This window comes from Homo sapiens, chromosome 12 (assembly GCF_000001405.40).
Source record: "Homo sapiens chromosome 12, GRCh38.p14 Primary Assembly".
NCBI classification, from domain to species: Eukaryota; Metazoa; Chordata; class Mammalia; order Primates; family Hominidae; genus Homo; species Homo sapiens.
In genome coordinates this window covers 62,726,588-62,753,969 of record NC_000012.12, presented here as the reverse complement: position 1 = coordinate 62,753,969, position 27,382 = coordinate 62,726,588, and the positions used below count along the sequence as shown (strand labels likewise).

General features: G+C 43.6%; 1 protein-coding gene across 3 annotated transcripts in view, besides 1 other annotated feature; it reads left to right on the top strand.

Annotated features, from left to right (window-relative positions):
• PPM1H (protein phosphatase, Mg2+/Mn2+ dependent 1H) overlaps positions 1-27,382 on the top strand; it is a 291,157-nt gene that overhangs the window by 181,181 nt on the left and 82,594 nt on the right. For all 3 annotated transcript variants that reach the window (NM_020700.2, XM_011538578.3, XM_017019676.3), the window contains exon 5: positions 16,384-16,468. In NM_020700.2, coding sequence (NP_065751.1) covers positions 16,384-16,468 — 85 coding nt within the window. The remainder of the gene's footprint in view (positions 1-16,383; positions 16,469-27,382) is intronic.
• Positions 8,586-8,635: an enhancer, noted in NCBI's record as "active region_6584". NCBI's record gives its function as "activates an Ori minimal core promoter by ATAC-STARR-seq in GM12878 lymphoblastoid cells {active_cell/tissue: GM12878}" and the evidence as "EXISTENCE:reporter gene assay evidence [ECO:0000049][PMID:35858748]".

The window sequence follows — 27,382 nt, the reverse complement described above, 5'->3', positions numbered from 1 at the left end:
GTGAGAGGGAAAATAATACTTCTAATCCTGGTGATGAGGGAAGGTTATTCCAGAGAAGCAGCAAAAACAAAAATCAAGTAAGAATCAGAACAAGAAAGCCCAAGCTCCAAGGCAGAACTAGTGGAAATGAGGTTAGTGGGAGCCCGCCCTGATCCCCCTTATCTGGAAAACTATTTAAGGGAATAACCAGAATGGAGAAAGCCAGAGAGAGGGGGAGAGAACCTGGCATTCTCCCAGGCAAGCCCCCACCAGTCTCAGCCTCTTTATCTCTGCCTGTGCATCTCAAAAAAGAAAATGGAAGCAGAGAGAGATGGTCTGTCATGGCCTTTTTCCAAGAGGGAACAGAACAGTTCCGATTTTACATCCAACAAGGCTTCAAGAGTAGGGGGTGAGGATGCAAGAGTGAAGCCCACTGTATCCCTAAGCTATAGCTCAGTCAAATGCTTCCGTCCCTGAATCTGACCCACACATGGTAGAAAGGTGGAAAGATGTTAGATGTTCATCCCTTAGTTAGATTTGGGCATTGTTACAAAGGAACCTGGTTTTGGAGAACAACAATCCACGTGAGTATATTAAAGATTCAGAAAAGTCCTGTGACAAAGAAGAGTGTTTCCTGAACTCTTTCGAGCATGAGGAATCTTCATTTGGTCGTCCCCTGTTTTCATTCAGAAGTGGGTTCCATAGGAAATGTTGTAGAGGCCAACCTAAATTAACTGATTTATTCAGTGAAGAGGAGTTTGCCAGGCAGCTGAGGTTAGAAGGTAGATGAGAGAACAGACCTATTTTTCTGTGTTTTCACTTAATATGTTAGTTCAGTTCTCGGCTTTGTTTTTCTCCCCTTTTTCTGTATGCATTCCCTAGAACACTTGTTTCAATTTTATAATTTAACTAGCATATAGACATGACTATTCACAAATCTTTTTTAGCCCTGACCTCATTCCTGAGCACCACTCCCACATTTCCAACTGTGTCTTCACCAGCCCCTCCACCTGACATCACACATATGCCCCAAATTCAAATGCCCAAAATGCAGTGTCTTCTCCAGACCAACTCTTCTGCTCGTCTCTCCTGTGTTAATAGCATCATCGTCCTTCGTTGTCCAAGCTGGGAACCTCAGCAGATTTGCAGGCATTTTCTTCTCCTTTAATTCCCACATAATTTTTTTAAATTATGTATGTTATCTCTAAGAATTTTCTGTTTCCACAGACATAGTTCAGACTCATTTTTTACTTGGACAGTTGTAAGAGCCTTGGATAAATTATGGGTTGAGTAGAATTTTTGCAGGAAAAGGGGATTTGGCATGGGACTCCTTTATATGTATCTCTTTGTCACAATAAAATTAAAAATTATGGATATGCTTGGAAAAATGTTAAGGAGACTCTAATATTAATGAACAGAGTGAGGTTTCAAAGCTATTGAGCAAGAGAAGCAAGAATGCCCCCAATCCCCCTGTCAATCTTCCTTCTTTTCTGTGGAATGTTGGGGGGATCTGAACACATGAATGGAAATGACAATGAGAAATCTTCAAAATGTTAAATTTTTATTTAATGATAAAATGTGAGATAACCACTTTATTCTTAAAGCCTAAGTGAGGTCACAAAATTTTTTTTTCTTTCATACAGTTCCTTAAGATCCCATTTGTAGACATTTATCATTACACAAAAATAACGAAGTTCCAAGTAAATTACTATTCTACTGACTCTTATATGTGAGTTTAATTTATTCATTCAGCATCACTAATAATCTATAAAGTCCCTTCATACATATACTCATTTAGTCTGAAGAAAGTGGTATTTATCAAGTGGGGAAAATTGATTCTCAGAGTGGCTAACTCACTTTCCCAGTATACTTAATTCATAGCTTGAAATTGACTTTGGACTGCAAACTTTGATTACTTTTCATTTCACCACAGCCAGCTCCCAAACCCAACTTAATGGGTTATGTTCAACGAATGAGAGATGGGCTTCCCAGGCCTTTGCTTGTAAGGAACTGACACCGGGTAACTGTTACCAGGCAGAGCCAGAGAGGCCTTACAGGTAGGGCTGGTGTGCAGCATCTAGCCCATATAACCTAACCATGAACCACAGATGAGCCTCCCTGCCCTGCCACATGAAGTAATATAACTTATTTTGAACAGGAGCATGTAGCAAAGAAGAGGTCCTGTTTACTTCCACAGTGCACACTGCAAGACATTCTCAGTACATTATACAGTCTAGATCTCATTGTTTATGGGTCTGGTTTTGCCCTCATGTAGCAGACGTAGTTCCTGATTTATAGCACCATAAAGAAATTACAGTGAAGGACGCCTCAAGATTCTTGGCAGGCAAATATAGACAAAGCTCCTTTACATCTTTTTAAAGAATTCCAGGGATGGAGATCCATGAGCTTTCGTCAGATGTATAATGTGAAGATCAAGAAATTATTTTCCCTTTTCCAACCATAGAATTTTACTGATTTGATGTGATTTCCTCCTGTCTGTTTCACTCTGAGCATGAAGAACTGGTCACCCACTGTTCTCTGAATAAACCCATTTTAAATGCGTGAAAGCGAGTGTGATGAGATTGTTCCTCATTCTTTCCCTCAGGCTAAAATACCACTTTTCCTTTAGCCTCTTCAAAGCTTCTATTTTCCACCCCTTGAATTGTGTTTACTCCTCTTCTTGGGACCCTGCTCAGTTGTTCCGTCACATTGCTGTTTTTTAAGTAAAGAGGTCCGAATCAGACACAAATCAAACAAGGGTGTGACCAATGCAGGGTATTAGTGAAGAAATTGCTTCCTGGGCTCTGCAAGTCCTACCTGTCTTGGCACACAAATAGTGAGCCATTGTAGTCAACAGTCATCTTTAAAAAGAAGAGAAAAGTTCGTCCTACTCATAAATAGACTGCAGTAGAGAGAAAAATAAATGCCTTTGGTGGCTTCACCCAGTCTGGCTACTTGCCATGAGGAAGAAAATGCTTGATTTGGCACTTAACAAATGGTTGTATACATTTGTGCTGGGGAACCGTACGGTATTGTGAATTTTAGATATTGACCCTGCACTAGAGAGAAGCAGAATACATATCCTCTGATGCAGATGAAAAATAAAGCATTGTGTGATGTACACATTGAAATCTAAACATGCAGGCAAAACTTTTTCAGCAAGGTGCCTTTAAAAGGGTGCTGAATAAGAAATCACTGAGATTTTCAGATCTGAATCTAGTTTGAACTCTAGAGTCCTTTAAGAGAAAGTTCTAAAACCTACCAATTGGGAATATAAAATTGTACAGTCACTTTGGAAAGCTAACTGGTAGTTCTTCAGAAAGTTAAGGTTACCATATGGCTCAATAATTTCACTCCTGGGTATATGCCCAAGAGAACTGAAAACATATATTTACACAAAAACTTGTACACAAATGTTCATAGCAGCATTATTCACTGTTTCAAAAAAAATGGAAACACAAATGTCTGCCAACTAATGAATGGATAAACAAAATGTGTTCATGTGATGGAATATTATTTAGCCACAAGAAGGAATGAAGTATTGATGCATGCTGTAACATGGATGAACCTTGAAAACATCTGTTTAGCAAATGAAACCAGTCATAAAGACCATGTATTGTATGATGCCATTCATATTAAATGTCCAGAATAGATTAATCCATAGAGACAAAGTAGATTAGTATTTGCAAGGGCTTAGAACGAAGGAGAGATGGGGAGTGGCTACTAAAAAGTACAGGGTATAGGGAGTCCTTTTTCAGATTTTGAAAATGTCCTGGAATTGGATAATGGTGATGGTTGCACAACCCTGAGAATGTACCAAAAAACACTGAATTGTATCACTTTAAGAGGGTATATTTTATGGTATGCAGACTATAATTCAAAAACAGAAAACAAACACATAGACCTCTTTTTTTTTTTTTTTTGAGAAATGATATGCACCTTGAAAACCTTTCATTAATGACTGAGGCATTTAGCTGATCTGGAAAATTTTGCGCTGGCGCACTGGGTTTCATGAGTGTTGCTGGTATAGCAAAATGGTAGACTAAGATGTTTCTACAGAAAGTGGCTGAATATGACACTGAGAAATTATTCTGGGTGGTATGAGTACAGACTGGGCTGGTTGTGAAGAAAGCAAGGAACATGGGACTCAGCTATGGCTCTATGAGTGGTCACTTATTTTTGCTGCTACTTAAAGATCTGAAATATTTTTCCCTTGACCATCATTTGTGAATATTTTTGCTTAGGAGCTTAATTGCATAGTTGGGGTCTTGTTAAATGAATCATCGTATTTGCAGACTTATTTAGTAGTTTCCATTCTGAAAATTGAATGACAAGAAATACACCCAAACTGATTCCAGGCTGTTAAGCTTACTTTTTTCCTTTCAGCTATTTTTTGATACCATTAATTAGCATCTACAGAGTAGCCATCCTCTGACGATGGTAAGGTAACCCTGGCTTGTCCCTCAGCTGCCCTGCTTTCTTTCCCAACAATGCGTTTCTAATACTTTTGAAAGAGAAGAACACTTCTGCTGCATCCAAACAGAATCCACAAAGTCTGATGCTTTTGAACAAAATGGATGTTTCCTCCCTGTGCCTTGAAATTGATATACACTGTCAAAAAGGGTTTTCCGAATGGTTTCTCTTTGTCACCTTGTACCAGATTTTCTCCTCCATTCTGGAAATGTGCAGTTTAATGTTGCGTTTCGAATCACTTTCAGCTGAAAGAGTGTGTAATGGAATCAGGGCATCCCATGAATACTCTTAACAGTGTCAGAGATGCCTTTTTGTTTGTAGCTCTGCGTTCCAAGGGGACTGATGACAACAGTGAAATTACATTGGGGGCCTTGCTCAATAGTAGGTTCCTTGTCTGTGATGTTTTAAGAGAAGTAGTAAGGGTGGCTTCTCCCATCCTGGTGCTTCTGTGTTTGGTTTATATTACTTAGAATCTAAATTGTAGTGGTTATTACCTCCTGAGAAGAAAAGTAGTAACTGGAGTCCTTGTCAGTATTTTCCTACCCCAGTGTGTATCAGACTGTTTTCAGAAGCATTTCACTCTAACCTTGAAAGTTGCCTGTAAAATCACCTGATTCTGACCCTTTTTGTTATCAGCAAGGATGCCAGGGCCCAGAGTTAAAGACAATTAACAGCCCACTGTGGAGTTGGCACCTATAATCACAGATTCCCAGGCTGGTGCTGGTGCTGTTTCTGCCACAACACACAGGCTCCTACCACCAATTACTCACATATATGTGAATTTCCTCCAAAGCCATGAACCTTCTGAGCTGGAGGAGGGCTTGACAATTAGTCTTTGCCCCACAGTCTTTATCATTTCATGCTTTGGCTGTCACAGTATAGCCTTTCAGGTTAACTGTCAGAACCTAACAACCCAGAAAGGGTAGATGATGGCAGGCCCTTCCTCACACGTGTGTGTGTGTGTGTGTGTGTGTGTGTGTGTGTGTGTTCTACACTGAAACACATTTAACTACATGAGTGGGTGGATTCCATGCTACAGGGCTGGCTGATTGCTTAGGAATTAAAGATGGGAATGAATTTCTGCACTCCCAGGACTTTTTTAAACTAGAGCCTCAAAGCACTTTGCTTTGCCATTCAGCAAGTTCCCTTGCTGCGGAGAGAAGAAACCAAGGTATAACAAAGTGAAGTGACTTGGTTTGGAATTGGACTTCAGATGTGAGCTTGATCGCTGCCCTTTGTCTTACTTGGAGGACTTTTTTTTTCTTTTTTTTTTTTGAGACGGAGTCTCGCTCTGTCGCCCAGGCTGGAGTACAGTGGCGCAATCTCGGCTCCCTGCAAGCTCCGCCTCCCGGGTTCACGCCATTCTCCTGCCTCGACTTCCCAAAGTGCTGGGATTACAGGCGTGAGCTACTGCGCCCGGCCACTTGGAGGACTTTTAATACCTTTTACTCCATAGAAATTGGACTCCTGGACACCATTACCTGCTTCTCAAGTCCAGCAGCTAGGGGATTTTGGATTTCTTTTCCATTTCTACTCTACAGAGAGATGCTACCTTTATTTTTTAGCTTGGCTATATATTTGTGTGTGTGTGCATGTATAATTTTTTTCTCTTTCTCTTTCCCACCTCATGTTATAGGTCATTGTTGTGTATCTAGAGCAGAGGGAGTACTTGGTGGGTTCTGCCACATGGGCAAAGCTTTCTACTGAGGCTGAAAAGCTCTATGCCTATTGTCTCCATGCCATGTTTACATAGCACCTGTTTATTACTTGACTGTGAATTTTGGGATTTTGTCTGGTTTTAAGACAAAAGGTTTTTACCTTGAGAGGGCAGAAGGGCTGAAGTGTGCTCTGGAATGTACCCTGGCAGAACATGGGCTTTTAGGCTTTCTGAGGGTTACATGAAGAAGGTGCTAACAGAGTGTTCCTACATTTGCCCTACTTGATTCTCCAAACTTTGTCTTCCCCTTAAAACTTAATTTACACTGGGCATGGTGATTCATGCCTGCCATCCCAACACTTTCGGAGGCTTAGGTGTGAGGATCACTTAAACCCGGTACCCATCTCTAAAAAATTTTTAAAAATTGCCAGGCACAGTGGCTCACGCCTATAATCCCAGCACTTTGGGAGGCCGAGGCGGGTGGATCACCTGAGGTCAGGAGTTTGAGATCAGCCTGACCAACATGGAGAAATCCCATCTCTACTAAAAATACAAAATTAGCCAGGCCTGGTGACACATGCCTGTAATCCCAGCTACTTGGGAGGCTGAGGCAGGAGAATCACTTGAACCTGGGAGGCGGAGGTTGCAGTGAGCCGAGATCGCGCCATTGCACTCGAGCCTGGGAGACAAGAGCAAAACTCCGTCTCAAAAAAAAAAAAGAAAAAAAACCTTTTTTAAAAAATTAACCAGGCATGGTGGCACATGCCTGTGGTCCCATCTACTCAGGAGGCTGAGGTGGGAGGATCACCTGAGCCCAGGAGGCCAGAGCTGCAGTGAGCCACGATCGTGCCACTGCACTCCAGCCTGGGCAACAGAACGAGATCCTGTCTCAAAAAAAGAAAAAAGGAAAGAAAGAATTTGTTACTCGTTTGCATGAATCTGAAGATTTCTCTATAGCTGTAGCCAGTGACACAGTAGCTCTGCAGTGTACTGAGGCAATGTGATTTCATATTAGGAAATTTAGAAGTGGGGGGGTGTGAATGAGCTTCTACTGTTCAAACCCAGTAGCACCCTGTGTGTTGGGGCTCCGTGAAGGGAGAACATTTCTGAGACCATCTAGAAGGAAAGTTCCTTATTCTGCAGGGTGAAACCACACCACACAACAGTGTAAGTTGAGTTTTGCTTGCCCCGGAACAAGGGAGATATCTCCCAGGCAATAGAAAGCGTAATTGGCTGTTGGCTGCCTCGCAACAAGGACATCCCCTAGTCCATTTACTCCTAGTAGTGATGTATGAAGGGGAGGTGGCTTTCCCATCCTGCTGCTACCTCCATACTCCTGGGTGGCTGTCTGGGCCTGGAACTCTGGCAGTCCGTGGTGGTAGGTAGCCCATAGGCAATGCATATGGTAATTGAGTTGTCAGTGGTGGTTTGGTTTGGTTTGGTTTGGTTTTGCTTTATCAGTGTTACTGATGGAACACATTGAAAATTTCCCTATGGCCACTGAATAAATCACACCTGGATATATACTGTCAGAGCCTGTGGGCATAGTTTCAAGTCAGTTCTTGGGTGCCTAGTGAAATATATGTATCAGACTGTTACAGAATGCTCAGGCTGCAGGGGAAGATCACACCTGTTCACACTTTGTTTTTGTTTTTGTTTTTTTTTTGAGACAGGATCTTGCTCTGTTGCCCAGGCTGGAGTGCAGTGGCATGATCATAGCTCATCATAGCCTTGACTTTCTGGGCTCAAGTGATCCTCCCATCTAAGCTTTCTGAGTAGCTGGGACTATGGGCATGTACCACAACGCCTGGCTAATTTTTTCTATTTTTTTGTAGAGACGAGGGTCTCAGTATGTTGCCTAGGCTGGTCCCAACTCCTGGGTTCAAGTGATCTTCCTGCCTTGACTTCCCCAAGTGCTGGGATTATAGGTGTGAGCCGTCATGCCTGGTCTAGACTTCTTTATATGGCTAAGATTAACAAGATCTAACCTTCAATCAAAGAGCTGATGAATTCTTTAGTCATGCATGCATTTAATCCCTCACTTGGAACCTCTTCTTATACTTTTATTTTGAATGTGATTGGCAGTTCTAAACCTATTTTTCTGGGTCCTTTCCATAAAGCACAAGTGATGTAGAAAAGTACAGACAGTTTTAGGCTTAACCAGTTCTTATTTTTCTAAGAAGATTCAGTCACTGGCTTCTTAGTTAGTGGCTCCTGAAACAGATGCAGGATAGTTGTGCTGCTGTGACTGAGCTCCAAATAATGGCCTCTGAGATGTGGTTGGGCCACCTAGTAGAAGAACTTCATGGAGAGGTGCTTGAGGCACATGGGGTCATGAAGGGTGGTAACATTACAAAGATGAATCAGCATTCAGGAAGACTCTAGGTCTTCTGTGACTGCATAGCCAAATCTGGACAAATCAGTTCCTCTTCAAACTTACAAAAGGAGCATACGTTTCCTGTAACAGTCAAATAATACAAAAATATATAAAGAAAAGTTAACCAGGTGCGGTGGCTCATGCCTGTAATCCCAGCACTTTGGGAGACTGAGGTGGGAGGATTGCTTGAGCCCAGGCATTCGCGACGAGCCTAGGCAACATAGTGAGGCCTCGTCTCTATAAAGAAAATAATAATAATTTAAAAAATTAAAAATAATAAAATTTTTTAAAAAGAAAAATTAACTTTCTCTCCCACTTCCATAACTTCCTTGCCACTCATTGAAACATAATTATATGTTATCAAGCTGCTAGGTGTCGAGGTGGTCAGTTAGGACAATGAACCAAACAGAAAGTAACAACCAAACCTTTCTTCTCTTACTGCAGTAGTCCTGGCAAGAGGCAAAGAGGAAAGTGCTCTTCCATTTTTCCCCATAGGACGGCACCAGGTGAAGGTCTGGCAGATGACATGCAGCGCTGGCAGGAGGGAGTCTCACTGCCCAGAGCTCTGAACTAAAGGCTTTGCCATTTTGTGGACCGAGGGTTGTAGGGCCAGGGAGAGAAGGGGAAGGACTATAAGAAGACTGAGTCAGAGCAGAGAAGTGTCTCAGTGGAGACTCCTAGGCTAGTGGGGTATGAGTCCTGGGCTGCAGCTGTCCTGGCGGCTGCAGTGCAGGGACTGTGCACCACATCCGGTGTGGAGAGGGCAGCTTCCCCCGTGAGGCCTGCTGGGCAGAGCCTTTGTAATGGCCTGTGGTCAGGCCTGAAACATTGCACACAGGATTCGGGCATGGAATCAGACTCCTCACATAGATGGAATATCTATATATAGTTTTTGTTTTTACAAAAATGGGATTGTACCACCCATTACTCTGCAGTTTACTTTTCTCACTTACTATATCATGGATAACTCCAGGTCACAAAATAGAATTTCACTCCTTTTTTTTTTTTTTTTTGAGACAGAGTCTCACTCTGTTGCCCAGGCTGGAGTGCAGTGGTGCAACCTCGGCTCACTGCAACCTGTGCCTCCTGGGTTCAAGCAATTCTCCTGCCTCATCCTCCCAAGTAGCTGGGATTATAGGCACCCACCACCACGCCCAGCTAATTTTTATACTTTGAATAGAGACAGGTTTTCACCATGTTGGCCAGGCTGGTCTTGAACTCCTGACCTCAAGTGATCCACTCACCTCGGCCTCCCAAAGTGCTGGGATTACAGGTGTGAGCCACAGCGCCTGGCCTTTTTTTTTTTTTTTTTTTTTTATGACTGTATAATGGCTTATAGAATACAAACCAATCCATTCAACAGTTCCCCTTTTGACAGACATTCAGGCTGTTTCCAGTCTTTGCCCCAATGAATAACGTCAAAAGTCTGAATTGTATGTATATCCTATGTACTGAGTCTTTTATTTCTTTAGCATGTATTCCCAAAAGTGGAATGACTGAACCATTGGATATGTAATTATAATTGTAATCAATGTAAAAGGTGTAACAATTTCCATTCCCATTATGAAAGTGACTTTTACTCTATGAAAACTATATATTGTTGTTTTTTTAATGTTTCCCAACCTAATGAGCAGAATTATATATTGCTTTTACTTTAGTGTGCATTTTCATGGACTAGTGAGATTGAGCATCTTTTCATATCTTTATTAATCGTTGCATTTTTCCTTCTGTCAGTTGCCTAATCATATTTTTTATCAGCTTTTTTTCTTCTGCTTGTTTGTTAAATACCTGTTGGCACATGTCAGTCCTGCTCTGAGAACATCACACTGAGTTGAGATTTAACAAGAGTTAATATGATCCCTTTAAGAAAAATTGTAAAATCAAGTTAATATTCGAAGTGACCATCCTGTTTTACCCTCCCTGTTTCTCTTAACCACTTAATATTTAGACTAGGGGAATAAAGATATGTGTTTTTAACTCCAAAATATAACATTAGAGGAGAGAAGTAGCGGGATTTTCTAGGAATTAGTCTGTAACTCAAAATTCTCATTGGTTAGGAATAAATTACCTTTATCCTCTCATGTAGCTAATATTTGGGGCAGGGACCAGGGGGAGTTTTGTTTTTGTTTTTGAGACAGGGTCTCAATCTGTTGCCTAGGCTGGCGTGCAGTGGTGCAGTTTCGGCTCACTGCAACCTCCCCTTCCCAGGTTCAAGCAATTCTCCTGCCTCAGCCTCCCAAGTAGCTGTGACTACAGGCGCCTGCCACCACACCCAGCTAATTTTTGTATTTTTTTAGTAGAGATGGGGTTTCACCATGTTGGCCAGGCTTGTCTCAAACTCCTGATCTCAAGTGATCCATCCCCCTTGGCCTCCCAAAGTGCTGGAATTACAGACATGAGCCACTGCGCCCGGCCTGAGTTTTTTAAACTATTAATGTCCTTGCTTTACCTCCTTTTCTCCCATTCTTGCGGTTGACTCATAAGAACACCCTAAACCTTACTGTTCATTGTATCGCAAATAACGCCCCATCGATTTTACTGGAATTAATGTCATATAAATTTCAGCTGTAGTCTTTAAAGGAAAGGCTAACCTTAATATTGGATAATATGCTGAAAACCCATCCCCTCTGTATGGGAATGGTTATTGGGTGGGAGGTGATTGCCAATGGATTAAATCACCTCAACCCCGGCAACTTTCTCGTTTAACCTCTGGAATGTTACTCAGATTCTGGTCATGGTGGTATCCACAAGTCCAGGCCTGAGGCCCCAGAAGGAAGGTCAGAGTGTATACGTAGCTCTCCTGCACCCTCGCAGCCACGGCATTTGGTTTTTGTTTTTTTCTTAATTTTCCTTAGGAAAAGCATCTCATAAAATAATGAAATAGAAGCTAGGAAGTACAGGGGTCCTGTGATGACAGACTGTAGCTTTAAAGGCATTTCTCTACTTTATTGATTGTTTAGTATGAGGTTTGTCAGCTTTCACATGCATTTCGTTCCGTTTGAAACCCCTTTCGTCTCATTGCCCTACTCCAGATTGGAGACCAGCACTCTGACAAATTGATCCCAAGATCAGAGTGATGAAAGAGAGAAAGATCAAAAGGAAGCCAAGGATCACATAGGAAGAGGCATCGTGATGTAGGCACTGGGAAGGTTGGCAGTCGAACATGCTGTCATCTTTAATCCATGGATGCCTCTTAAAGGAAGAGCTTGGTAGTTCAAACGGAAGTGAAAAAATGTTCTGTACATAGATGGATTTGGATATAATTATCTATTTAAGAAAGTAATAAACTAGGCTTGCCCTGGCAGTCATATTGTAATGGAACGCAGATACCTCATTGTGTGTGAATTTGAAATTAAAAAACAAAGTAAACATGGTGAGCTGCTACCATTGCTGCCCCCTCCCTGCCTTGCCCACTAAGGAGAGAGGCACTGCCTTGTTTCCCTTTGTATTTCAAGGAGCTTCTCGGTGGCAACTCAGCCAGAACACTGTCCTCTTAGGCCTGCCGTCTTTTTGCAAAACCAACAAAAAGGCGTATGGATTTTTAAGGGCTCAGACTATAAGTTATATAATATTGCTACTAAGAAAAGTCTTATGTAGGGCCCTCATTTCTGGATTCTTCTGTTCCTCCACTCAAGTCCAGCTCCCCCTTCATCTATTTAGCCACTTATCCATCAGCAAGCAATTGTTGCACGTCTGGCACGTGCCAGGCACTGAGCACTGGAGATTCAGAGACAACAACATAGACTCTGCCTGGAAAATATCCGCGGGGTAGTTCAAGACAGCCATGGAAGCCAGCAGTCATAGCAAGGACTGGTAAGGGTACAGCTAGGCATAGACACCACGGGGTCACAGAGAAGGGGCATGGAGGGTAGGCCAGGAGGACAACAGAAGGCGTTCTGAGCTGACTCAGAGAAATGGGCTAACCATGAGAAGGAAGAAGCCATGTGAAGGGAGTAGCAAGAGTGAGGCTAAAGCAAGAAATACAGGCAAGAACCAGATAATAAAGGAAACTGGAAAAGCTGGGAAGCCATCACAGGGCTTTCGGTAAGACATGTGGCATGATGAGAGCGGTGCTTTAACATCACCTTTGTGACCCTATGAAGCACGGGGCAGAGGAGGGCAGAACAGGGGCTGAGGAAGCAGTGGAGAGCTCCTGAGTCATGCAGGTAAGCTCTGATGGAAACCAGAACCAAGGCACTAGCAGGAATCAAGGAAAGAGAGGGATTCCTGTGCTGCTGAGGAGGTGAAATCTACACGCCTGGGTGCCTATTTGGACATATGGGGTGAGAAAAGGGAGGAGTCTAGAATGGCTGCCTGTCTTCTGGGACGAGCAACTAGGTGGAAAATTGTTTGGTTCCCGGAGATAGAGAATGCTAGAAGACAGATTTGGGAGGGGGCTGGGGACAGGATCATTAATTTTGAACCTTATTAAGTATGAAATGCCAGTGAATATATCGAAGTGGATATATCCGTTGGCAGTTGGCTGTTCCAGGCCGAGCACAACAGAGATATGTGGGCTAGAAAGGTTGTCTGGACTCACCAGCATATGTCGTTGTTGGAGCTATTTATCCATGCAGCAGATATTAAGAGTATACACTCAGGGCTATCTTTGTGAGCATGCAACCTGTGCACCACACAGGGCCCTGCTCTCCGAAGGACTTCACATTTGGTGTAATGCTCTGCTGTGGCTGTCTTGAAATTCTGCATTTTTTAATCAGGGGCCTGTGTTTTCATTTTGCGCTGGACCCTGAAGTTACATAGCCCTGCCTACAATGGCCTGGCACCGTGTGCAGTAGTAGGGCTGCAGTGTCGATCAAGACAGGCATGGTTCTTGTCCAGCTTACAGGCTAGCGTGGAAAGCAGACAGTTAAGTAATCAATTATAAAATGTGATGAGTTCTGTATTAAGAGAGGGACCAGGCTAAGGGAACACGTATGGAGGGATAGGGGTCTAACCTAACCTAACCTTGGTGGCTGAGAATTTAGGGAATGAGAGCACCCAGGGAGAATACTGAGACAGAATCCTAGTCCACAACAGCAAAGAAGGGACGGAGAAGTTGGAGAGAGAATGTCCCGGAAGTTAGGAGGGAAACCAGGAGAAGAAGTTGTATCCCTGGTGCCAGGGTTAGGAGACAGTCAGATGCTGCCTGGGAGATCAGAATGATGGCATGCCCAAGGGATGTAGCAACAAAAGGGCCATTTGTTGACTCAGGTGACAGTAGCTGGGTGTAGAGGGAGGCAAGAAGTTAATTTACCTCTGTTTGAGGGATCCATGGGAGGCGAGGGAGTAGATAGACCCTGAATGTAGATTATTATCAATTTCTGAGGCTTAGGTTCTTAGGAAAGAAAAAAGGACATTTCAAAGGTGGAGTTCGGATTAGGAGAGTATCATCTGTTTGGTTTTGGTTTTACTTTGATTTTAAACAGAATGCTTTAGCATGGTTTTGTTCTATGGGCAGAGATCCAGTGGAAAGAGAGGTCAGAAATACAGGAGTGGGAGTAACTGACATTGGGAGAACCCCGAGGTGTGGGAAGTGACAGAGAGGAGCTCCGGTCAGGAAGAGAAGAGGAAAAGATAGCTGAGGAGCAGTGAGTGTCTAGCTGAAGGCCCCTCTTTCCTCTGTAAAATCTACCCCGTGTGACTTGGTTAAGTGAACATCTGCTGCCTTTTAGTTCTTTTCTCTTCGGGCCTCAAATTCAAGGAACAGTTTCTTCTAAGTTCTTTCATCTGCTCCTTTAATCAGCAAACATTCACTGGGCCCCTGCTTTGTGACAGGCATGACCTAAGCCTTTGGCGTTACCAGGCCCCTGAGCTCCTGGCACTCAGGTCCTAGAGGAGATGCTTCCATGGCCTGATTGGGCATCGCTGGCTCTTCCTAGTCCATGCCTGGGAATTCAACTGCAATTCAGGGGCCGTGCAGAAAAAGAGGAAAAAGTTAAGAGTAGCTTTAGGCAAAATCTTGAAAGAGGAGATTATCTTTGGAATTTATCACATAATAACTTTCACTCCAGCTCCCCGAATTCTCAGGGGCCCTCTAGATCCTGTAAGATTAGGCCCAAACCTAGAATTTCCTGACCCCGCCCCCTTTCAAATTCTCCTGTGTTTCTCCATCCTGTCAAAACTCCTACTCCCTTGTTATAGTCATACTCACCTGGTAATTAGAACAAAGACCATTGGAATTAATTCACACTGATTTGTGAATGGTGGATAACACCTTAGTGGGGGTGGGGTAATAGTGATTGCATTTGACAAGTGGCTCCTGTTTATAAGAAGGAATCTTTAACTTGTCATATTTCAGACAGCATAATAAAAGTGATAAGGAGTATTATAAGAGGCCTCATCTTCTCACAGTCAGTTCCCCTAAACTTTTCCATTTTCTCACAGCTTCCACTGTTTTTTTTTTTCCTAGAGTCATAAGTTCTCTAAAACCCCTAAGATTTTTGTCATCACTCCTTCCCTTCCTGGATGCGCTGCCCGCCCCTCCGCCGCCCCCGCCCCGACCCCCCACTTTCCCGTTTCTATGACAGCAGCAACTAGGGCACAGGTGGTGAGGGGTTGGGGGTGGGGTCATGACAGCTGCAGCCATTTATAGGGATTGTTTCCAAGTCAGGAACTGCCTCTGCACTGGGAGAGAGGGATGCCCAGAGGCTTCTTGGCACAAAGAATGCAGCCTCCCTAGAATGAAGGAGGCATCCACTCAGATCTGAGCTGATCGAAGGCATTTCCCATGTTGGTGGCTCCTCACTGAGAAGCATGTCAGGTCTCAGGTCTCTAGCTCCCTGATGCCTGGGAGCTGTTGGGTTCATATAGAATGCAATTCCCCAAGCCACTTCCATTTGTTGTAGAAATGGCAACATTCTGCCACAACCGATCGATAGCTGAAAAGTGGCTGTCAGGAACCACTTTGGAATCAGAAGGTCTGGGAACAGGAGGCACCGCTGGGAATAGACCCAGGAAAGGTTGCTCATGGTTATCGATCCTGCAGCCTCTCCTATAGACATCTGCTTTGGGGAACGCCGTTCCCTCAAAAGTCCTTGACTGGGCAATAGCTCTTAGATACACTTTTTGGAGTGTATGAGTTTCCTGAGCCTTGAGATGAGTGGTTTTGGTTTTTTTTTTCCCCCTGGACCCAGGATATCACCCTAGAAATTCAACAGTGTAGGCCACACATTCTCAGACATCCCTGTGCTTATGAATCACCAGGGGATCTTATTACAATGCAGATTTTGATGCAGTAATCTCAGGGTGGAACCTGAGATTCTGCATTTCTAACAAGCTCCCAGGTGAAGCCAATGCTGCTGGCCCACAGCATCATTGGAGTAACAGGGATCTAGAGCTGCACTGTCAAATACATTCAACACTAGCCATATGTGACCGCTTAAATTTAAAGCTAAGTTCATTAAACTTCAATAAAACGAAAAATTCAGTTCCTTGCCTGCACTAACCACAATTTAAGTGCCTAGTACCCGCATGTGGTTAGTGCCTGCCATATTGGACTGCACAAACAAAAACATTACCATGATCACAAAAGGTGCTATTCGATAACCCTGGGCTAGAGCAAGACTCTGTTGCATCACTCATTCATTCATCCATCCGTCCATTTATTCACTGAGCATTTGTTATGTGCCAAGAAGTATGGTTGGGGCTGGAGCATTAAGGCACACTTCCAGCTAGCAGAAAACATAAACATAAGCTAACTAGAATGCAATGCACTTAAAAGAGAGATGCCTCTCATGTGGTGAGGGATTCAGAGCTGGGAACAGTGAACTCTGCCATGCAAGTGGGAAAACAAAAACATCTCTTGGCATTTCATGTGTGACCTGAACCAAGCAATGGTTGTAACAGAATCAGAGCATTTATGAGATTGGCTACTGACAATGCATTTTCACCATTTCAGGGCCATAATCATCAGAAATGGAGAAATTATCCCCATGTCTTCAGAATTTACCCCCGAGACGGAGCGCCAGCGACTTCAGTACCTGGTAAGAGTCATCTAGGCTTGGCAGAGGGCAGTGGCATCAGGGATGGCATCGGAGCTGTTCTGGAGGAACACGTTGCTACTGACATGGGAGCAGGCTCACCGCATTCAAATGACATATGGTATTAACTCCCCCACACACACCTTCTGGATCACACATCCTGGCTCCGTGTGTGACGACACACTCCACCTCCGTGAATTTATTATTGCGGCTGATTTTCTCCCATCTGTGACCAATTGAAGACATGGTGTGCTCTGGTTTTGTTTTTTTTGTTTTTTTTTTTTTTTAATGGCTTCTTATGTACAATGTGAAATGCAGTTTTGAAAAACACAGATACCTTCTTCCATGGCCCGCTACTCACTTTAACTCAAACAGGGAACTTGGTCTGATTCCCGTTGTGAGGAAGAATCTGCCCACGTGGCAGCTCTGAGGTCTCTGCTGACATGCCACTACTTCATGCTCAGATATGAAGTCTTACAGGCCCTTTGGAAAAGGTGCAGGTGTCAGAAAATCTGTTTCTATCCTGAAAATAAGTTCTCTATGTAGATTATTCTCTTTGGAATGAAATTATGAGCGGGCTCAGTTTTCTGGGAAACAGAATAGACTCACTTCCTTGTCTTCAAATTCCAGGGGCAAGGGTATTAGGCTTAGAATCTTGGTTTAAAGTGACTCTGGTAATCATCCCAGGTGGCCTTGGGGCAGATACCTCTAGGAACTAACCCTGTGAATCATAGTTCTGTGGATGAAATATTTTCTCGCCAACTGGATTTCTTTGTAGACAACACAGCTAAAGTAGTGCCCATCTGCTCTTAGGAAACAATTGATCCAGGCTACTCAAAAAGGACTTTGCATCTCTGCATTTCAGTATTTGTGGTCAGGATTTAATTAATTTGGTTGATTTAGAAAGCAGCTCTGCACTTTCCTTCCATTTCCATGTCTGTGTTTTCATTCATTTTATTCTATGAACTGTGTCACTTTAACTACTTATTTGGTGTATAAGACAGCAGGAATCCAAAATGACTGTAAAAACAGTACTTCAATCTTTCACCTACTGTTGCTTTCTAACCTTTGTGGTGGTGTCTTAAGCTGATAAACTTGAAACCACTACTAGGGAATCCAGGCTTCAGACCTCGTCATTTTCTTTGGTAGTCTAGGCCGGTGGAAAGGACCCCACTGCAGCCTTCAGATCTTCATTCTGGCCCCAGCTGTGTTACCAGCTGGACAGTTTTGTGCAAGTTTCTTAACCTTTCCTGACCTCGGTTTATCACTTGTGAAATGGAGAGCTGGACGATAGGGCCACCAAGGGCCTCTGAGCTGCAAGGATCCCTCCAAGTAGAATTCGTTATAGCTAGCCTCTCTGCCACCTGTCTGGCTTTCTCCACTCTATTCCACAAGGCTATCCAAGTGACCTCATTACCCACCTTGTCACTCCCCTATCTAAAAGCCTTTGGCTCCCTGCAATTTACAGAATGCAGACCGCCCTTCTTGGCCTTGCTGGAATCCTGGCCCCTGCCCACATCTCCAGTCCTATCTCAATGTTGCCACCACCACCACTGCCACCAGGCATCCCATGCTCCAGCCACAGAGAACTACCTTCCATTTCCAGGACATATCATGATTTCTCTGATCTCTGACCCCCATGCCTTTGGAAGTATGGTCTGCCTGGATGGCCTTTTCTTTCTTTTCTGTTAGGAGAACTCCTCTTCATTCTTTAAGACTCCAGCACAAATATCACTTCTTCTGCAAAGTGTCCCCTAATCCTCCTAGGGAGTCAGTCCCCAGTGCTTGTACCACAGCTTCCAGATCCCTGCAGTGTGGCTCTCAGCATATGGTGTTGCTTGTTCTGGTCTCTCCCCCTCTTCAGACTGTGTTCTGGAGGGCAGGCCACTTACCTTAGTCACCTCATATTGCCAGTATTCAACACAGCACCTGGCACAAGGGAGATATAGAACCAGTATCTGTTTACTGAACGAAAGATTTAAAAACAGGCTGGGCACGGTGGCTCATGCCTGTAATCCCAGCACTTTGGAAGGCTGAGGTGGGAGGATCGCTTGAGCCCAGGAGTTCAAGACCAGTCTGGGCAACATGGCAAAATGCTGTCTCTACAAAACAAATCCAAAAAAAAATTAGCCAGGCATGGTGATGTGTGCCTGTAGTCCCAGCTACTCAGGAGGCCGAAGTGGGAGGATCACTTGAGCCCAGAAGGCAGAGGTTGCAGTGAACCGAGACTGCACCACTGCACTCTTGGGGCAGCCTAGGTAAAGAGTGAGACCTTGTCTCTTTAAAAAAAAGAAAAAAAAAATTAAAAACAATATTCATATTGACTTCTAGATCATTACCAAACAGTCCTTTCTCTTCTGCCCTCCGCCCAAACATTTCACAGCAGGGTATGAAGCCTTTGCCTTCCTTGCCTCTATTATATCCTATCCTCACCTTCCGTTGTTTTTTTGTTTTTTGTTTTGAGACAGGGTTTCACTCTGTCGTCCAGTCTAAACTGTAGTAGCACAACCATGGCTCACTGTGGCCTCAACCTCCTAGGCCCAACAAATCCTCCTACCTCAGCCTCTGTTTAGCTAGGACTACAGGTGCACCACCGTGCCTGGCTAATTATTTTTTTCTTTTGTAGAGATGGGGGGGTCTCACTGTCTTGCCAGGGCTGGTCTTAAACTCCTGGGCTCAAGCAATCCTCTCACCTCAGCCTCCCAAATTGCTGGGGGTTACAAGCGTGAGCCACTATGCACAGCCCACCTCCTGCTCTTTATTGAAACCCATTTCCTATTCAGGTTTCTGTTTTCCTACAAGAGGCAATGAATAATAAGTTAACTTTTTGCACTTTCTGTTTTAAAATGATTTCATCTTTTCATGTTACAAGAATGGACCTGGGAGGTTAACTTGGTTGGGGGAAGTATAGGAATGCTGACATTTTCAGATTCCCAAATGTCAGCGGTATATTTTGGGATGGTTGAAATAAGATGCATGTGGCTTCAGATCTCACGTAAGTGTATGTAATTTCCACAAGGAACTTCAGTGACTCCCAATTTCTTCAACAGTAATGGGATAGAAAACTTCAGAAGTCTGTGTAAGGACTAATACATGCCGTACTGTTTTGTGACAGAAAGTACTACTCATTTAGCTATTGTATGAGGAATTAAAGTCTTACCACTACAAATCTGTCTTCATCTGTTTGGGCTGCTGTAGCAAAAAACCATAAACTGGGTAGTTAATAAACAACAGAATTAATTTCTCACAGATGTAGAGGCTGGGAAGTCCAACATCAAGGTGCTGGTAGAGTCAAGGTCTGGTGAGGGCTCTACTTCCTGATTTGTAGGCAGCCGTCTTTTTTTTTTATTTTCTTTAAAAAAAAAAAAAAAATTCATGTGGCAGAAGGCACAAGGATGCTCCCTGGAGCCTCTTTTATAAGGGCTCTAATCCCATTTATGAGGGCTCTACCCTCATGACCTAATCACTTCCCAAAGGCCCCACATCTAAATGCCATCACACTGGGGATTTGGCTTCAACATGTGAGTTTTGGGGAGATACATTCAGTCGGTAGCAAAGATCCCACTGGCCTGCAAACCAGGGTAATTTTTTTCCTCGTTTTTATTTAAGAACCATTTCTAACGTTGCTAAGATTAATGCATAATTTGGTGTCGCCCTTAAACAATCAGTGTGGACACTATTAGTCCACAGAACCGAACCTAATGTCTGAATTTTTAAAAGGTGAAAATGCTGCCCATATCCTTTTTAATCCTTACTCCTAAATCAAATGGGTTACTCTAGTTTATAACTAAAAACATTTCTCCTCAGACATCAGGAGTTTAAATACTCAGAACATAAAATACCCTGAGTTAGAATATTCATAGCATAAAATAATCTTATGGTGAAATCTTTATGGTAAATACTTGAGGGAATTAGAGATTAATAGTGTAAAATCTTGAAAATAGTATCGGCCAGGCATGGTGGCTCACACCTGTAATCCTAGCACTTTGAGAGGCCAAGGTGGGCAGATCACAAGGTCAGGAGTTCGAGACCAGCCTGGCCAACATGGTGAAACCCCATCTCTACTAAAAATACCAAAAAAAATCAGCTGGGTATGGTGGCACGCGCCTCTAATCCCTGCTACTCAAGAGGCTGAGGCAGGAGAATTGCTTGAACCTGGGAGGCGGAGGTTGCAGTAAGCCGAGATTGTGCCACTGCAACTCCAGCCTGGGCAACAGAGCAAGACTCCATCTTGGCAGGGAGGGGGGTGGAGAAAATAGTATCAACTATGAGAGGAAAATAGGAGTGTGATGTGGATTTCTCCCAGCCCAGCCCAGTCATGAGTCATTTGACCTCTAGTTTCCCCTCACACTCTGTCTCTGAATCTCCTTTCTTCCTGAATGAAACGGGTAGCAATACTTCCTTTTAGGTACTCATAACATGCTCAGAAATTAAAACGAAAAGTAACTGCATGGTAATATAAAATACAGTATACTGTGTTATAATTTTAAGTGCGTGTAATCCTACTGATTCATTATTTTAAGCATTCATTCCCTTGAATGATTACAAAATAGTTTAGTACAATGATAGTTGTATCATCTTCCTTAACGTGGCCTCATCAGTTATTAGTCACTGAAAAATTAACAGTGTATTCCTTGTTCTTAGGGTAAATCAAATTTTATATTTAGGGTATATGAAGAAACATCTATGATAGAGTCATTAAAACTTCTGGGTCCCCATCCTGGCTAACACGGTGAAACCCCGTCCCTACTAAAAATACAAAAAAATTAGCCGGGCGTAGTGGCGGGCGCCTGTAGTCCCAGCTACTCGGGAGGCTGAGGCAGGAGAATGGCGTGAACCCGGGAGGCAGAACTTGCAGTGAGCTGAGATCGCACCACTGCACTCCAGCCTGGGTGACAGAGAGAGACTCTGTCTCAAAAAAAAAAAAAACCGAAAACAAAAAAAAACTTCTGGGTCCCTAGCCACTTGCATTGAGCAGATGTCTGCAGTCCCAGGTCTGTTTGACTTGTAGAAATGGTAAATGCTTTTCTTGCTAGTGAAGAAGGTGGTCAGAGTCCTTTCTACATGAACCATTTTGATCCACATCAAAGAGGAATGTTCAGTGTTCTTGGTATGCACAGTCTGGACATTCGGGGATTATGGAACTGGAAGCAGATTACAAGATGATGGATGTGGCAGGCACATTAATTTTGTTTGGTCTTGCATTCTGACCTCAGAGGGCCCTTCATGTGGCTCTCTGGGTAATGTGAACTTTGTTTCATAGATTCTCAGGCAGGGTGATTAATTGAGCAGGCTTGAGGGTTTGACATGTTCACACGGAATGTGGCAGGTGTGTGATGAGGAGTTCAAGGGACGGGCACTCCTGCCTCAGCACCAGGGAGAGCTGATGATCTGCAGTCGTGACTAACCCTTGCTCTTCTGTTGCTGGGTTTTGTTTCTAAGGTCTCCATGGTGATTGAAATAAAATATTTAAGGGGCTTCACCAAGCTGGACAGAATGTTTTGGTGGAGTCAAGGCTCAGATAGGAGGGAAGGGTGTCTGGTTGATGGACATTTCACAACAGATTTTACTGTTCTGATACTGTGGCCTCAAGGAAATCACCCCTACCTTTGCTTCAGGTCACAGCCAGAAATGGATCTCCCTCAGGAGACATCCATAGCCCTGAGGTATGAGAGTGATGGTTTTCCCTCCATTCTGCCGGTACATATTTATAAACTCTGACTTGATTACATTAAGTCGTGCCGGTGTCATCATATCTTCAAATAACATACTTCTGTCCTTGCAGAATAATCCAAGTTTGCAGCTGTTTTTCATCAAGGGCAATGTATAGAAGAGATGAACGTGGGTTTCAAGTACATATTTGATGAACACAAGTGCAACATTATCTGAGGTGATTTCTTGCAATGTCCTTGGAACTACCCCCAGCTCTCAACGCCGAGCCGGGTTCTGTTTGTCTGCTGTTTCCCTGGTGCTGCTTGGCTCTCTGGGATTTTTCCTGCTCAAGAGTTGTCTGCAGAAAAGTATTCCTTAAGCCTGAACCTGCTTTGAAGACAGGAGGCTATAAGTGGGGAGGTTCAAGCGTGCTGGTGGGTCAAAATGACAGGTGCACCACCTTGGCATCCCACCTAACCTTGAGAGCAGGTGGCTAAAGCCAGCAAGCCTGGCTTTATTCAGAAAGAGACAGTTTCAATATCTCCGTGTTTTGCTCCCTGGGAGAATGTCTGAGTCATAAAAAAATCCACTCCAGTCCCACCTACTTCCTCATTTAACCTCCTTTCATAAAATGGCATATGAGGTTCAAATTTTCTAATTATAAAATGGCAGACTAGAAGCTATTGTGGCATTTTTTTCTGTTTACAATAGGTCCCCTGGATCACGTAGAAATTTAAATGTGAACTTCTCTTAAAATCTTCATAAACCAGGCAGAATTTTATTCGTATTCAGTTCTGTAATAGCTTATATATACAAGCTCGGTTCTTGTTACTTTGAGATTTTTGACAACAAATTAAGAACAGAGTTCTTTATGAAAGAATCCAACCTATACATATTTGGGTCTCAGCCATTTCACATTTTTTCTAACCCAAACCAAAATATTCTATTCCTGCACTGTAAATCAGGCAGCCAGCCTTGGCTCTGGAAAAGCTGTCTCATTTGACTGTTAGCGTGACTGTTAGTGATCACCAGTGGTTTGGCTGACATTATTAATTTCATTTCATTCTTGACCTTAGACTTTCTATCTTGATAAATCATCTTGAATTGCAAGGCTTCCAATCCTCTTCTCATATAATCTGAGGAGATTTTCCCCTTCTAAGGGCAAGAAAAAGGAGAGATTACTCAATTAAAAAAAAAAAGTTTTGTATTGTACACGGAAAATTCGTATTTTGATTACTTTCTCTCAAATGCTGTGAGGTCTGAACATTTAAAAAATTAATTAATGTATAAGTTTTAGGTAGAGGATTCTAGTTTTAGTCAGAGAACTTTACAAAAGATTTTCTGTCGTGGAATCTGCCATCTCATTTATCTTATTTAACACATGAGTATTCTTATTTTCCACATTCTGCTGATGAGGGTGGAAATTGGAACAACTCCTTTGAAAAAGAGTTTGGCAGTCTCCCTGAAGTTGAAAGTGCTGTGGTCCAGCAGTGTTACTCCTAAGTGTGTACCTAACAGAAATGCGTATGAATGTTTACCCAAAGACCAGAGCGTGCATAGCAGCACTGTTTGTAACAGCTTAAACGGGAAACTTCCATGTGCCTCCATGTGAAGAGACCACCAAACAGGCTTTGTGTGAGCAATAAAGCTGTTTATTTCACCTGGATGCAGGTGGGCTGAGTCCGAAAAGAGAGTCAGCAAAGGGAGATAGGGGTGGGGCCGTTTTATAGGATTCGGGTAGGTAAAGGAAAATTACAGTCAAAGGGGGGTTGTTCTCTGGCGGGCAGAGTGGGGGTCACAGGGTGCTCAGTAGGGGAGCTTTTGAGCCAGGATGAGCCAGGAGAAGGAATTTCACAAGACCATGTCATCAGTTAAGGCAGGAACAGGCCATTTTCACTTCTTTTGTGGTGAAATGTCATCAGTTAAGGCAGGAACCGGCCATCTGGATGTGTACGTGCAGGTCACAGGGGATATGATGGCTTATCTGAATGCCCCTGGAAAGTAGAATGGGTAAATAAATAATGAAATAATCACAGGATGGAATTAACATACAGCACGGAGAATGAGCAAGTCGCAGTTACACACAACATGGATGAATTTCGCAGACTTAATACCCAGCAAAGAGGGCATCCTGTAGGATTTCAGATGAAGCACAGAAACAGGCAAGGCCAGTCTTGAAGTTGGAATAGTGCCCCTTTGGGGCAGTGACAGTGATTGGATGGGGTGCTGATGATGGGGTGCTGGTCCCAGGATGCTGGTAATGTTCTTTCTTGATCGGGAGGCCAGCTACACAGGTGTGTTCAATTTGTGAAACTTCATCAGCTTGTATGCGTATGAGAAGAGCACTTTACCACATATAATTCACTGAAAAGTTTAAGTAGTTTCACTTTATTTAACTCCATGTATCCTTTCTTTAACTGCACATTACCCTTTGCAGGAGGGGCCATCTTTGGTGCCAATGTCTGCACTCCTGCCTCCTCTCTGCCCCACTCTCTTCTCTCCTAGGATTACCTCCAAATGCCATGCTCTCTCCCACTTCCCTGCCTTTGCTGTGGCCACACTTGCCCTAGAGCTCTTGCCTGACCAACTCTTAAGCTCCTTTGCAGATTCTCTCTGATCCTCTTCAGTGTGTGACCCACTCTGTTCCTTGGTCCCTGTGAATGGCTCCATTTCTGCCCGTAAGCCGCCCTCAGCCTCCTTCACTTGTGTGGGTCAGCTCTGAGCAGAGGGTCCTCTTTTTGTGTTCTTTGAGCCCCAAACCCCTAGTCCCTGGTACTTAGCATATGTAAGGGCTCAAATGTTAGTTGCATGAATTCCTTTGTCTGGATACCCCAAGCCCTGGGACAGTCTCCTTCTTGGCTGACACTACTCACTGGCCAGCTGACCACAAAGCAACAGGAAAAAAAAATTATCAAAAGGAGGAAGAAAATGAGGAAGCATTTTGTATTCCCTAGCAAGCAATTTTGAGTAACCTCAAAGCCCCATCTTTGTGTCCACTGGCAGGCTGGTGCTCAGCCCTCCGCTGGAGCCCTGGTCACCTTAGACTTCTCCCATAACCAGGGCTAGCTTCCCTCCCTGGGGTCTGAGTTCCCTGCTTCCGGCTACCCTTTTTTCCTTGCCCTGCTGAGGTGCTCGAAACTCTCCCTGAGCCCAGGAAGGTGGAGCTCAGGGCCATGTGATCTAGAGTGAGACAGCCTTGGGTGCAGGTTGCTCACCTACTCTAGACTTCTGGCCTCCCTCTTGCCTAGTGAGAGGCTTACTGGAAGGTTCTGGAAGGTGCCTCTTCTTCAGGCTTGTTCCCTCCTGTTATGTCTCCATTCTTCAGGGTACTCAGAGACTTTCTTTGGGATGGAGTTGTTGTATTTTTCCACAGTGCAATGCTCATCTCCCTTCTCTTCCTTTGAAACCAGTTTCTGCTCAGGACTAGAGAGGAGAGTGGCCATAGAAAGACATCCAATTCCCCTACTCAAACTCTGGTGTCCTGCCCTGACACAGTCAGTTGTTCCAGCATCCTTTCCTGAGAGGTGTCCTTGTTCCTGGCCAGATATAACCATGTTTGTAAGTTTCCTTTTTTTAGCTGCTCAGATCACTAAGTGATGAGGATATGTCGTATTCTCTTTAACAAATCTGTGCTCTTTAGAGTCCCTAAGAGTCTTGGTTACTTGCATTTGGTCTTGCTAGGGCAGAGGTTATCAAGCTTTTTCCCCCAGGTGATATTTGTGGCACACACATGAACTTGGGGTATACCTCCGCCCTCTCCCCTCATTTAGTAGCATTCTGTTATGTTTCCTTGAAGGAAAACCTCAAAATTTAGGATTAAAATGGAGGTACAAGAAGAGATCCTTTTTTTTTAATCGGAGGGTGGGCTGGTACACTTTAAATTGCATTTTAAGGCTGGGCGTGGTGGCTCATGCCTGTAATCCCAGCACTTTGGGAGGCTGAGGGGAATGGATCACCTGAGGTCTGGAGGTCAAGACCAGCCTGGCCAACATGGTGAAACCCCGTCTCTACTAAAAATACCAAAATTAGCCGGGCATGGTGGCGCACGCATGTAGTCCCAGCTACTCAGGAGGCTGAGGTGGGAGAATCACTTGAACCTGGGAGGCAGACATTGCAGTGAGCCAAGATTGCATCACTGCATTCCGGCCTGGGCAACAGAGTGAGAATCCACCTCAAATAATAATAATAATAATAATAATAATAATAATAATAATATTTGCATTTTAATATCAACTGCTAATTTATAGGTTTCTCATCTGCAGGCTTATTAAGTGAAGAGACAAAGCATTATTATTTAGGTATTCTTAGGATTGTAAAATAACATCATGGGGTTTTAAAAACCACATGCAGCCATGCACATGTGTTTTTATGGGAAGACATCTATCAATTTATAAGAAGTTAACTAAATCCAAACTACGTGGGTCCAAGATGGTTTTTATACAATATGGGCCTTACTTTTAACTTTTTCAAAAGATTGAAGGCTGTGTTATCTTATAGTTTAAATAATCACTATGTTGTGATTGTGTAGAGCAGGTCAGAATGTCCTGTATTCATTCTTTTAGCAAATACTTACTCAGCACCTTTACTATGTTGGGTGCTATGCTGGGCACTGGAGTGGAGTTAAGGTTTTAAAAATGATGGACACATGGCCGGGCATGGTGGCTCATGGCTGTAATCCCAGCACTTTGGGAGGCTGAGGCAGGTGAATCACCTGAGATTAGGAGTTCTAGACCAGCCTGGTGAAACCCTGTCTCTACTAAAAATACAAAAATTTGCTGGGCATGGTAGCGGGCGCCTGTAATCCTAGCTACTCAGGAGGCTGAGGCAGGAGAATTGCTTGAACCCAGGAGGCGGAGGTTGCAGTGAGCCAAGATCAAGCCATTGCATTACAGCCTGGGTGACAAGAGTGAAACTCTGTCTCAAAAAAAAAAAGTCAGTAAATTATTAGCAAACTAGCAAATTCCTGCCCCAACACTTTACAGACTTTGGGCTTATTGCTTATGGTAAATCCAAAGTAAAATCATTTTGAAGACTCAGGACTCCAGAATGCTGACTTGAGCAATGCTTCCAGAGGCACAGACCAGTACAAATGAAGTAATTCTAGCCAGTCATGGTCACCTGAATTCTGGGCAGGCCCTAAGAAGTTTCCAAATCACCAAGTTGTTTGGCCACTCTGCGTTTGCGGACAAAACATCTCTGCGCTGGCCTGATGGGAATCTGCGGCTTCCACATCCCCGCATTGGAGCCAGGCCCCTGCTCTGCTTG